Here is a 12,440-nt window from a genome sequence, read left to right on the forward strand (position 1 = left end):
TGTTGCCCAGGCTTGGAGTGCAGTGGCGCGATCTCGGCTCACTGCACCCTCTGCCTCCCGGGTTCAAGTGATTCTTCCGCCTCAGCCTCCCAAGTAGCTGGGATTACAGGTGCATACCATCATGCCTGTCTAATTTTTGTATTTTTAGTGGAGATAGAGTTTCACCATGTTGGCCAGGCTGGTCACGAACTCCTGACCTCAAGTGATCCGCCCGTCTTGGCCTCCCAAAGTGCTGGGATTACAGGCATGAGCCTCTGTGCCCAGACTGATCTGTGGTGTTTTGAGCCACCAAGTTGGGGGCTTAAACTTACAGCCACAACTAGAAGTCAATGCAGTTATGAGACAGGTTCATAGGGCCCCTGAGTGATGACCTCATATTTCAGAAACATAAGGCTTGTCCCATACCTGTCTGCTGAACTCCCTGAGTGATGGGTAGACCTTGTCTACAGGGACTTCTTAAGTTATGTGACTGGCGCTGCGAGCCTGAACCTGCATGTGCAGGGTGGCACTGCAGAAGTCCCCAGCGCTCTCCTCTGCTGGAGAGGTAACAGCCTCTCTTCTACCATTCAGAATCCTTAAATCAGTGTCCCCTAGAGTGTGGGCCCTGCACCTCTAGTGGCATGCCAGTTGATGGGATGTGTTCCTATCAATAAATACCTGTGATAAAATGTATAAATTAGGTGCAGTAAGACTAGCAACAATTTAAAAAAGAACAACTATAGCAATATGTTAAGGTTATGTGAATGTGGTCTTTGAAGATATCTTAACTGGCCGAGTGCAGTGGTGCACGCCTGTAATCCCAGCACTTGGGGAGGCCAAGACAGGTGGATCCTGAAGTCAGGAGTTCGAGACCAGCCTGGCCAACATGGTGAAACCCCCCCCCCACCGCCCCGCCGCCTGTAATTCCAGCTCTTTGGGGGGCTGAGATGGGCAGATCACAAGGTCAGGAGTTCAAGACCAGCCTGGCCAACATGGTGAAACCCTGTCTCTACTAAAAATACAAAAAAAAAAAAAAAAAAATCCGGGCTTGGTGGCAGGCATCTGTAAGGCAGGAGAATTGCTTGAACCCAGGAGGCAGAGGTTGCAGTGAACCGAGATTGCGCCACTGCACTCCAGCCTGGATGACAGAGCAAGACTCCATCTTGGAAAAAAAGAAAATATCTTAGCTATACTCACTTATTTTTGGACCTCAACTGACCTCAGGTAACGGAAACCTTGGAAAACAAAACCACAGGAAAGGGGTAACTCTGGTATATGTATAGCATTAGCAGAAACAATGTTTACTTTTTTTATTGAGACGGAGTCTTGCTCTGTCACCTAGCCTGGAGTGCAGTGGCGCGATCTCAGCTCACTGCAAGCTCCACCTCCCGGATTCACGCCATTCTCCTGCCCCAGCTTCCCAAGTAGCTGGGACTACAGGAGCCCGCCACCATGCCCAGCTAATTTTTTTTGTGTTTTTAGTAGAGATGGAGTTTCACCACGTTAGGCAGGATGGTCTCTATCTCCTGACCTCGTGATCCACCTGCCTCGGCCTCCCAAAGTGCTGGGATTACAGGCGTGAGCCGCCGTGCCTGGCCCCACAATGTTTACTTTTTGTTGTTGTTGTTTTCAGAAAGGGTCTTGCCCCATCTCCCAGGCTGGAGTGCAGTAGTGCAGTCATAGCTCTCTGCAGCCTCAACCTCCTTGGGCTCAAGTGATCCTCCTTCCTCAGCCTCCTGAGTAACTGAACCACAGGCACACACCAGCAAGCCTGGCTATTTTTAACTTTTTTTGTGGAGACAGGGTCTCCCTATGTTGCCAGGGGTGGTCTTGAACTCGGGTTCAAGTGATCCTCCCATCCGTCCTATTCCAAATTTGATATTGAAATTAGGCCAGTTAATAACCCTACAATGGCCTCTACATGCTCAAGTGAAAGGAAGAGTCACAAAGAGTCACATGCCTTTCACTTTAAATCAAAGCTGGAAATGATTAAGCTTGGTGAGGAAGGCACGTCAAAAGCTGAAATAGGGTCGGCTGTGGTGGCTCATGCCTGTAATCCCAGCACTTTGGGAGGCCGAGGTGGGCGGATCACCTGAGGTCAGGAGTTTGAGACCAGCCTGGCCAACATAGTGAAACCTCATCTCTACTAAAAGTACAAAAATTAGCCTGGTGTGGTGGCAGGCGCCTGTAGTCCCAGCTACTTGGGAGTTTGAGGCAGGAGAATCGCTTGAACCTGGGAGGCAGAGGTTGCAGTGAGCGAAGATGGCACCACTGCACTCCAGCCTGGGTGACAGAGTGAGACTCCATCTGAAAAAAAAAAAAAAAAAAAAAAAAACTGAAATAGGCCGAAAGCTAGACCTCTTGTGCCAAACAGCCAAGTTGTGAATGCAAAGGAAAAGTTCTTGGAGGAAATGAAAAAGTGCTACTCCAGTGAACACATGAATGATAAGAAAGCGAAACTGTATTATTACCGATATGGAGAAAGTTTGAGCGGTCTGTATAGAAGATCAAACCAGCCACAACCTTCCCTTAAGCCAAAGCCTAATCGAGAGCAGGGCCCTAACTCTCTTCAATTATGTGATGGCTGAGAGAGGAGAGGAAGCTGCAGAAGAAAAGTTGGAAGCTAGCAGAGGTTGGTTCCTGAGGTTTAAGGAAAGAAGCCGTCTCCATAACATAAAAGTGCAAGGTGAAGCAGCAGGTGCTGATGGAGAAACTGAAGCAAGTTGTCCAGAAGATCCAGCTGAGATCATTGATGAAGGAAGGTGGCTACACTAAACAACAGATTTTCAATGTAGGCAAAACAGCTTTCTCTTGCAAGAGGATGCCATCTAGGACTTCCAAAGCTAGAGAGGAGAATTCAATGCCTGGCTTCAAAACTTCATAGGAAAGCCTGACTTCTTAGTGTCTAGTATGAAATGCAGCTGGTGACATTAAGTTAAGGTCAGTGCTTATTTACCATTCTGAAAATCCTAGGGCCCTTAAGAATTATGCTAAATCCACTGGGTGCAGTGGGTCATGCCAAGGCAGGCGGATTGCTTGAGGCCAGGAGTTCGAAACTAGCCGAGCCAACATGGTGAAACCCCATCTTTACTAAAAAATACAAAAATTAGCTGGGTGTGGTGGTGCATGCCTGTAGTCCCAGCTACTTGGGAGGCTGAGGCACGAGGATTGCTTGAACCTGGGAGGTGGAAGTTGCACTGAAGCAAGATTGTGCCACTGCACTCCGGTTTGTGTGACAGAGTGAGACTCTGTCTCAAAAAAAAAAAAAAAAGGTGCCAAATCTGTGTGCTATAGAAATGGAACAACAAAGCCCAGGTGACAGCACATCTGATTACGGTGTGGTTTACTGAGTATTTTAAGGCCATTGTTGACACCTACTACTGAGAAAAAAAATTACTTTCAAAATATTATTGCTTATTGACAGTGCACCTGGTCACCAAAGAACTCTGACAGAGATGTGCAAGGCGATGAATGCTGTTTTCATGCATGCTGACACAACATTCATTCTGCAGCCCCACGGATCAAGGAGTAATTTTGACTTTCAAGTCTTACTATTTAGAAATGTATTTTGTAAGGCCAGGTGCAGTGGCTCACGCTTGTAATCCCAGCACTTTGGGAGGCCGAGGTGGGTGGATCACAAGGTCAAGAGTTCCAGACCAGCCTGGCCAATATGGTGAAACCCCGTCTCTACTAAAAATACATAAATTAACCCGGCGCAGTGGCGGGCGGCAGTAGTCCCAGCTACTTGGGAGGCTGAGGCAGGAGAATCGCTTGAACTTGGGAGGCAGAGGTTGCAGTGAGCCAAGATCACGCCACTGCACTCCAGCCTGGGCGACAGAGTGAGACTCCATCTCAAAAAAAAAAAAAATAATAATGAAATACATTTTGTAAGGCTGTAGCCACCATAGGTAGTGATTTCTCTGATGGATCTGGGTAAAGTACATTGGAAACCTTCTGAAAAGGATTCACCATTCTAGATGCCATTAAGAACATTAGTAGCCGAGCACGGTGGCTCATGCCTGTAACCCCAGCACTTTGGGAGGCCGAGATGGGCAAATCATTTGAGGTCAGGAGTTCAAGACCAGCCTGGCCAACATGGTGAAACCCCCTTCTCTACTAAAAATGCAAAAATTAGCCGGGTGTGGTGGGACATGCCTGTAATCCCAGCTATTGAGGAGGCTGAGGCAGGAGAATTGCTTGAGCCCGGGAGGCGGAGGTTGCAGTGAGCCGAGATCACGCCATTGCGCTCCAGCCTGGGCCACAGAGCTAGACTCCGTCTCAAAAAAAAAAAAAAAAAAAAAATTAGTAATGCATGGGAGGAGGTCGAAATATCAACCTTAATGGGTTTGGATGAAGTTGATTCCAGCCCTCATGGATGATTTTGAGGCATTTAAGACTTCAGTAGAGGAAGGAATTGCAGATGTGGTGGAAATAGCAAGGTAACTAGAATTAGGAATGGAGCATAAAGATGTGACTGAATTGCTGCAATCTCATGATCAGACTTCAACGGATGAGGAATTGCTACTTATGAATGAGCAGAGAAAGTGGTTTCTTGAGATAGAATCTACTCCTACATCCTTGAAGATGCTGTGAACATTGTTGAAATGACAATAAGGGATTTAAGATGTTACACAAATTTAGTTGATAAAGCAGCAGCAAAGTTTAAAAGGAATGACTCCAATTTTGAAAGAAGTTCTACTGTGAGTAAAATGCTGTAAAACAGCCTCTCTCGCCACAGAAATCTTTCGGGAAAGGAAGAGTCAACCAATGAGGCAAACTTCATTGTTGTCTGCACAGCCATTCACTGATCTTTCAGTAACCACCACCCTGCTCAACCAGCAACCATCAACATCAAAGCAAGACTCTCCACCAGCCAAATGATGATGACTTGCTGAAGGCTCAGATGATCATTAGCATTTTTAAAGCAATAACGTATTTTTAAAGTAAGGCATGCACATCTTAAAGACATAATACTATTGCACACGTAATAGAATACAGTATAGCATAAACATAACATTTATATGCACTGGGAAACCAAAAAATTCATGTGATATTCACTTTATTGAGATGATCTGGAACTAAACCTGCAATATCTCTCAGATATTCCTGTACGTGAAATCTTTCGAAAGAACAATATTTGTTCTTTTTTTCTTTTCTTTTCTTTTCTTTTTCTTTTTCTTTTTTTTTTTTTTTGAGATGGAGTCTTGCTCTTGTTGCCCAGGCTGGAGTACAATGGTGCGATCTCTGCTCACTGCAACCTCCGCCTCCCAGGCTCAAGCGATTCTCCTGCCTCAGCCTCCCGAGTAGCTGGGACTACAGGTGCACAACACCGCACCCAGCTAATTTTTGTATTTCCAGTAGAGACGGGGTTTCACCATGTTGGCCAGACTGGTCTCGAACTCCTGACCTCAGGTGATCTGCTTGCCTTAGCCTCCCAAGGTGCTGGAATTATAGGCGTGAGCCACCACGCCCGGCCTGGATTTCTTATATATAAGATCATGACAGACATAATGTTACTTCTGTGCCATTTTGGATGCCTTCTCTTTGTTTTTCTTGCACAATTTCTCTGTCTACCTTCAATCCGATATTGAATAGAAGTAGTAAAAAGTGGACATCCTTGTCTTATGCCTGCTATTGGAGAAAAAGCTTTTAGTCTTTCGTTGTTGAGTATGATATTAGCTGTGGGTTTTTTTATATGGTCAGGTTGTGTATGGTGGCTCCTGCCTGTAATCCCAGCAGTTTGGGAGGCTGAGGTGGGAGGATTGCTTGAGGTCAGGAGTTTGAGATCAGTCTGGGCAACATAGGAAGACTCTTTGTTTACAAAAAACTAAAAAATTAGCTGGGCATGGTGGTGCATGCCTAGCTACTTGGAGGCTGAGGCAGGATGATAGCTTGAGCCCGGGAGTTTGAGGTTACAGTGAGTAATGATCATGCCACTGCCCTCCAGCCTGGACAACATAGCAAAATCCTGCCTCATAAATAAATAGTCTTTATTATATTGAATTAATTTCCTATTTCTAATTTCGTTGAGTGCTTTTTAAATCATGAAAGGATATAAATGTTCTCAAATTTTTGTTTATATCAATTGAGATGATTGTGTGTGTGTGTGTTTTTTTTTCCCCTTTGGTTAATGTGGTACATTACATCGGTTGATTTTTGTACATTGGGCCACTCCAGGAATAATTCCACTTGGTCATGGCATATAATTCTTTTAATATACTGCTGAGTTCAGTTTGCTAGAATACCAAAAAAAGCCAGGCGTGGTGGCAACATGCCTATCATCCAGCTACTGAAGAGGCTGAGGTGGAAAGATCACTTGAGCTGGGGAGTTGGAGGCTGCAGTGAGCCGTGATCAAGCCACTGAACTCCACGCTGAGCGACAGTTTTCTAGAATTTTCGTTGAGGATTTTTGTATCCATCTTTTTTATTATTGTTGTTGAGACAAGGTCTCACTCTGTCGCTCAGCATGGAGTTCAGTGGCTTGATCACGGCTCACTGCAGCCTCCAACTCCCCAGCTCAAGTGATCTTTCCACCTCAGCCTCTTCAGTAGCTGGGATGACAGGCATGTTGCCACCATGCCTGGCTTTTTTTGATATTTTTTCTGTAGAGATGAGGTTTCGCCATGTCGCCCAGGCTGGTCTCAAACTCCTGAACTCAAGCAATCTGCCTGCCTCAGCCTCCCAAAGTACTGGCATTACAGGCTTGAGCCACCACAACCAGCCTAGTAATGTTCTTTTCTTTTTTGAGACAGAGTCTCACTCTGTTGCCCAGGCTGGAGTGCAGTGACACAATCTTGTTCACTGCAACCTCCACCTTCAAGGTTCAAGCGATTCTCGTGCCTCAGCCTCCTGAGTAGCTGGGATTACAGGCATGTGCCACCACGCCCGGCTAATTTTTTTTTTTCGAGATGGAGTTTCACTTTTGTCACCCAGGCTGGAGTGCAATGGCACCATCTTGGCTCACTGCAACCTCTGCCTCCTGGGTTCAAGTGATTCTCCTGCCTCAGCCTCCTGAGTAGCTGGAATTACAGGCGCCCGCCACCACGCCTGGCTAATTTTTTGTATTTTTAGTAGAGACGGGGTTTCACTGTGTTGGCCAGGCTGGCCTCAAACTCCTGACCTAGTGATCCACCCGCCTTGGCCTCCCAAAGTGCTGGGATTACAGGCGTGAGCCACCATGCCTGGCCAATTTTTGTATTTTTAGTAGAGACGGGGTTTCACCATGTTGGCTAGGCTGGTCCTGAACTCCTGATCTCAAATGATCCACCTGCCTCGGCCTCCCAAAGTGCTGCTGGGATTACAGGCGTGAGCAACTACACCCGGCCTCAATCTTTATATGAGATATTAGTCTGTAATCTTCTTCCAGGGTCTTCATTTAGCTTTGGTACTGGGGCCATGCTTTTAGAATCAGTTAGGAAGTGTTTCCTCCTTTTTCTTTTTTCTTTTGAATTAGTTTGAGAAGAATTGGTATTAATTAAACATGCATTCGCTGCATGTGTGTGGAGTGTCCTGCACATGTCTGTTAGGTCCAGTTTGTTCACAGTGTTGTTCCTGTCCTCTGTTTCCTTATTCATCTTCTCTCTAGCTGTTCTCACCATAGGCTTCAGACTCCAAAGCTTATCTGAGACCTTGATCTTTTTTCTTTTTTTCTTTGAGGCAGAGTCCTGCTCTGTCACCCAGGGTGGAGTGCAGTGGCACAATCTCAGCTCACTGCTACCTCTGCCTCTCGGGTTCAAGCAATCCTCCCACCTCAGCCTCCCTAGTAGCTGGGATTACAGGCAAGCGCCACCATGCCGAGCTAATTTTTGTATTTTTAGTAGAGATGGAGTTTCTCCATGTTGACCAGGCTGGCCTCGAACTCCTGACCTCAGGTCATCCACCCGCTTTGGCCTCCCAAAGTGCTGTGATTACAGGTGTGAGCCACCGTGGCCGGCCTGAAACCTGGATCTTAACCCTAATTAACCAAACAGAGGGAAAAGTCTGATGTCTCCTAGATGGAATTCCCAGGAGCCTATCTTAACCTCCTCTTAGGTGACTCACCAGCTTCTCAAACAACATTTCTAAAACCAAATACATCTTTCCCCCTCTCCTAAATAACTTTACTTTTCTTTTCTTTTTTTTTTTTTGAGACGGAGTTTTGCTGTGTCACCCAGGCTGGAGTGCAGTGGTATAGTCTCAGCTCACTGCAGCCTCCACCTCGCAGGTTCAAGCGATTCTCTTGCCTCAACCTCTGAGTAGCTGGAATTACAGGCATGAGTCACCACATCCAGCTAATTTTTGCATTTTTAGTAGAGATGAGGTCTTGCCATGTTGGCCAGGTTGCTCTCGAACTCCTGACCTCAGGTGATCCACCCTCCTTGGCCTCCCAAAGTGCTGGGATTACAGGCATGAGCCACCACGCCTGGCCCTAAATAGCTCTTCTTTAATGAGCTTTGAATTCCTTCCCAGCAGGACCTCCACTCCACTCAGCATCCTCAGAGTCATCGACTCCTTGCTTCTCCTTGTTCTCCTCACTGGCTAGGAGGCCATGTTTGGTTCCTTTTCCTCAATCAGCGTGTTTATCATAACTGTCTCTACTGTACTGCTGCCACCCAGACTCAGTCTTCTGTCTCACAAGAATCTTTTTGGCCTTTGTTCTCAGCCTCCTGCATTCCTGTAGACAACAAACCTGTCCCCTGAAGCCCTGAGCACATCATTCCAGTGACCAAAGACTGTCAAAGCTGCCTCTTTGCTTAATGCCTGAACGCCCAACTCTTAACAAGGCAAGGAAGATGCTCTGTGATTGGGCCTCATCTTACATGTAGTCTTATTTTCTAGTCAAAAAACCAGGTGCCGCCAGGCTGTATCTAATGCCAGCCTCTCTCCTTGGCCTGTGCTTTCCCCAGAGTTCATGCCTGCAACCCTGCCCACCTTCAAAGCCCACCCCAAATGCAAACTTCCTTGACCCTTTCATTTTTTTTTTTTCCTCGAGATGGAGTCTTGCTCTGTTGCCCAGGCTGGAGTGCAATGGCATGATCTCAGCTCACTGCAACCTCTGCCTCCCAGGTTCAAGCAATTCTCCTACCTCAGCCTCCTGAGTAGCTGGGATCACAGGTGTGCGCCACCACACCCAGCTAATTTTTGTATTTTTAGTACAGACGGGGTTTCACCATGTTGGCTAGAGTGGTCTTGAACTCCTGACCTCAGGCAATCTGCCCTCCTCGGCCTCCCAAAGTGCTGGGATTACAGGTGTGAGCCACTGCACCTGGCTCCTTTCATTATTTTATTATTTTATTCAATGAAAGATAAGCACCTACTGTATAAGCAAGACAGACATGACATATGCCCTTAAGGAGCTTTCATTCTTTTGGAGGACTGTCAAATATGCCTTACTGTAAGGTATGGCAACCTTTATGTGGGAAAGCCATGGATTCACCTAACAAAAGCAGCTTATTGGCTGGGTGCAGTGGCTCATGCCTGTAATCCCAGCACTTTAGGAGGCCAAAGCAGGCGGATCACTTGAGGTCAGGAGTTCGAGAGCAGCCTGGCCAACATGGTGAAACCCTGTCTCTATTAAAAAAAAAAAAAAGAAAATTAGGCCAGGCGTGGTGGCTTACGCCTGTAATCCCAGCACTCTGGGAGGCCGAGGCGGGTGGATCATGAGGTCAAGAGATCGAGACCATCCTGGCCAACATGGTGAAACTCCGTCTCTACTAAAATACAAAAATTAGCTGGGCATGGTGGCACGTGCCTGTAGTCCCAGCTACTCCAGAGGCTGAGGCAGGAGAGTTGCTTGAACCCGGGAGGTGGAGGTTGCAGTGAGCCGAGATCGCACCACTGCACTCCAGCCTGGCGACAGAGTGAGACTCTGCCTCAAAAACAACAACAACAACAAAACTAGCCTTAGCGCGGCATGGTGACGCACACCTGTCATCCCAGGTACTCAGGAGGCTGAGGCACGAGAATCACTTGAACCCAGGAAGCGGAGGTTGAGCTCTCAGTGAACTGAGATCGCACCACTGCACTCCAGCCTGGGCAACAGAGCAAGACTCCGTCTCAAAGAAAAAGAAAAAGAAAAAAAGAGAAGCAGCTTTTCCATTTAAGCTGGCCGAGGAAGCTTTCCTGAGACTGTCATACAAAGTCCCCTAGGCAGATGGATTCGCATTCGCAAGAGAGCATGCCTGTATACCCGTGTCTTCCGTCATTACTAACCAATTGCATATTTGTGCTTCTAATTGCTTGTGTTAATTTATTCCGTCCCTATAACAACTCCACGTCAGTTTGTTTTAATCCTCACTTTTTTTTGAGACCGGGCCTCACTCCTGTCACCCATGTTGGAGCGCAGTGGCATAATCGCAGCTCATTGCAACCACTTTGGGCTCAACGGATCCTCCCACCTCAACCTCCCAAGTCTAATTAGCTAGGACTACAGGCATATGCCACCATGCCTGACTGATTTTTTATATTTTGTATAGATGGGGTCTCACCGTGTTGCCCAGGTTTGTCTTGAACTCCTGGGCTCACGCCGTCCTCTTGCTTTGGCCTCCCAAAGTGTTCGGATTACAGGCGTGAGTCACTGTGCCCAGCCTTATTCTCATTTTAAACATGAGGAAATAAGGGTATGTGGAAATTGTGTAATTTGTCCAAGGTCATACAGCCAATCAATGATGGAACTGAATTTGAAACCAGGCAGGTTGGCTTTAGAGCCTGTGCTTTTGACTGCTATGTTATATGTGTCTCCTTTCTCCCTGCCCTTAATAGCACATAAAATCTTTTTCTTTTCCCCCAGCACCACCATTACATGAAGGTGTGGGGTCTCATTTCTTCCCATTTGTCAGGTTGGCTTATTTCTCCTTTTCTGGGCACCCCTTGATGCTGTTGATGAAGAATGACCCTCTCCTCAAAAGTCTTACAGTTCTTAGTGAGGCTTTTGAATACTTAGTTGCAGAAACGGCTTTTGAAATGCACTATCTAAATGGTTTCAGGAATACGCCATTAATTGATGAATGCCACCAAGAGCTTGGATTCATGCCTTCTGCTCTGTCTTCCTTGGCATGTTGACTTTTTTTCTTTTTTTGGAGACAGGGTCTCACTCTCTCGCCCAGGCTGGAGTGCAGTGGCGTGATCTTGGCTCACTGCAACCTCTGCCTCCCTAATATAATCGGTGAGTTATATTACCCACAGATGTGCACATTTTATTGTCTCGCACAGATGCTGGAAGTAGACCACAAATTTGACTTCCCCCCAAGTCCTCTCAAGGATTGAAACATGATTCAAGTGCCTCAACTTCCTGAGTAGCTGGGATTATAGGCATGCGTCAGCATGCCCAGCTAATTTTCATTGTTTTTTCTGTGTGTGTTTTGTTTTATTTTTCAGTAGAGATGGGATTTCACCCTGTTGGTCAGGCTGGTCTCGAACTGCTGGCTTCAAGTGATCCACCTGCCTCGGCCTCCCAAAGTGCTGGGATTACAGGGGTGAGCCACTGCGCCTGGACAGCATGTTGACTTTTCATCTTCAGCTTGTTGCCTCATGATCACAAAGTAGCTCCCAGAGTGCCAGGCATCATAACTGCATTCATGGCAGGAAAAAAGATGGGTCTTTTTTTTTTTTCAGTGGTTTCTGTCTTTTTTATCCAGAATAAAATTGTTCCCAAATATGCCTAATAGACTTCCCTCTGTATCTCATGCTAAGAACTGGGTAGGGTTGCCAAATGAAATACAGAATGCCCAGTTAAATAGAATTTCAGTAAAGAACACATAATTAAAAAAATATATAACTGGGACCCATGTAATATTTGGCACATGCATACACTAAAGAAATAATGTGTTGTTTACCTGAAATTTGCAGTATACTTACACTAAAAACATTATGTGTTGTTTACCTGAAATTCAAATTAACTGGGCGTTCTGTATTTTTTTTTTTTTTTTTTTGCTAAATCTGGCAACCCTAGAACTAAATCTATTTGGAAGAGACGGTGGGAAATAGAATATCTGGCTTTCGAGCTTTTATAATACAAGATGGGCAAAATACACAGGACTTTTAGATCATCGGCTACCCAGTGTGAAGTCATTTTGGTTGTGTTCACTGTAGCGTGCAGAGAATTGGTTTGTTTTGTGTTTTGTTTTGTTTTGAGACAGAGTCTCCCTCTGTTGCCCAGGCTGGAATGCAGTGGCGCAATCTCAGCTCACCAAAACCTCCTCCTCCCAGGTTCAAGCGATTCTCCTGCCTCAGTCTCCCGAGTAGCTGGAATTACAGGTGCCAACCACCATGCCTGACTAATTTTTGTATAATTAGTAGAGATGGGGTTTCACCATATTGATCAGGCTGGTCTCGAACTCCTGACCTCAAGTGATCTGCCCTCCTTGGCCTTCCAAAGTGCTGGGATTACAGGCGTGAGCCACCGTGCCCAGCTGAGAATAGGTTTCTATAACGTCAGAAAATTTATGAAGTTTGAGGCAGGGTCAAACGATATTTTTTCATCT

At 46.2% G+C, this 12,440-nt stretch overlaps 1 pseudogene; it reads right to left on the bottom strand.

The window, feature by feature from the left end:
- RN7SL557P (RNA, 7SL, cytoplasmic 557, pseudogene) lies at positions 6,279 to 6,564 on the bottom strand (annotated as a pseudogene).

Source organism: Homo sapiens, chromosome 16, assembly GCF_000001405.40.
Source record: "Homo sapiens chromosome 16, GRCh38.p14 Primary Assembly".
NCBI classification, from domain to species: domain Eukaryota; kingdom Metazoa; phylum Chordata; class Mammalia; order Primates; family Hominidae; genus Homo; species Homo sapiens.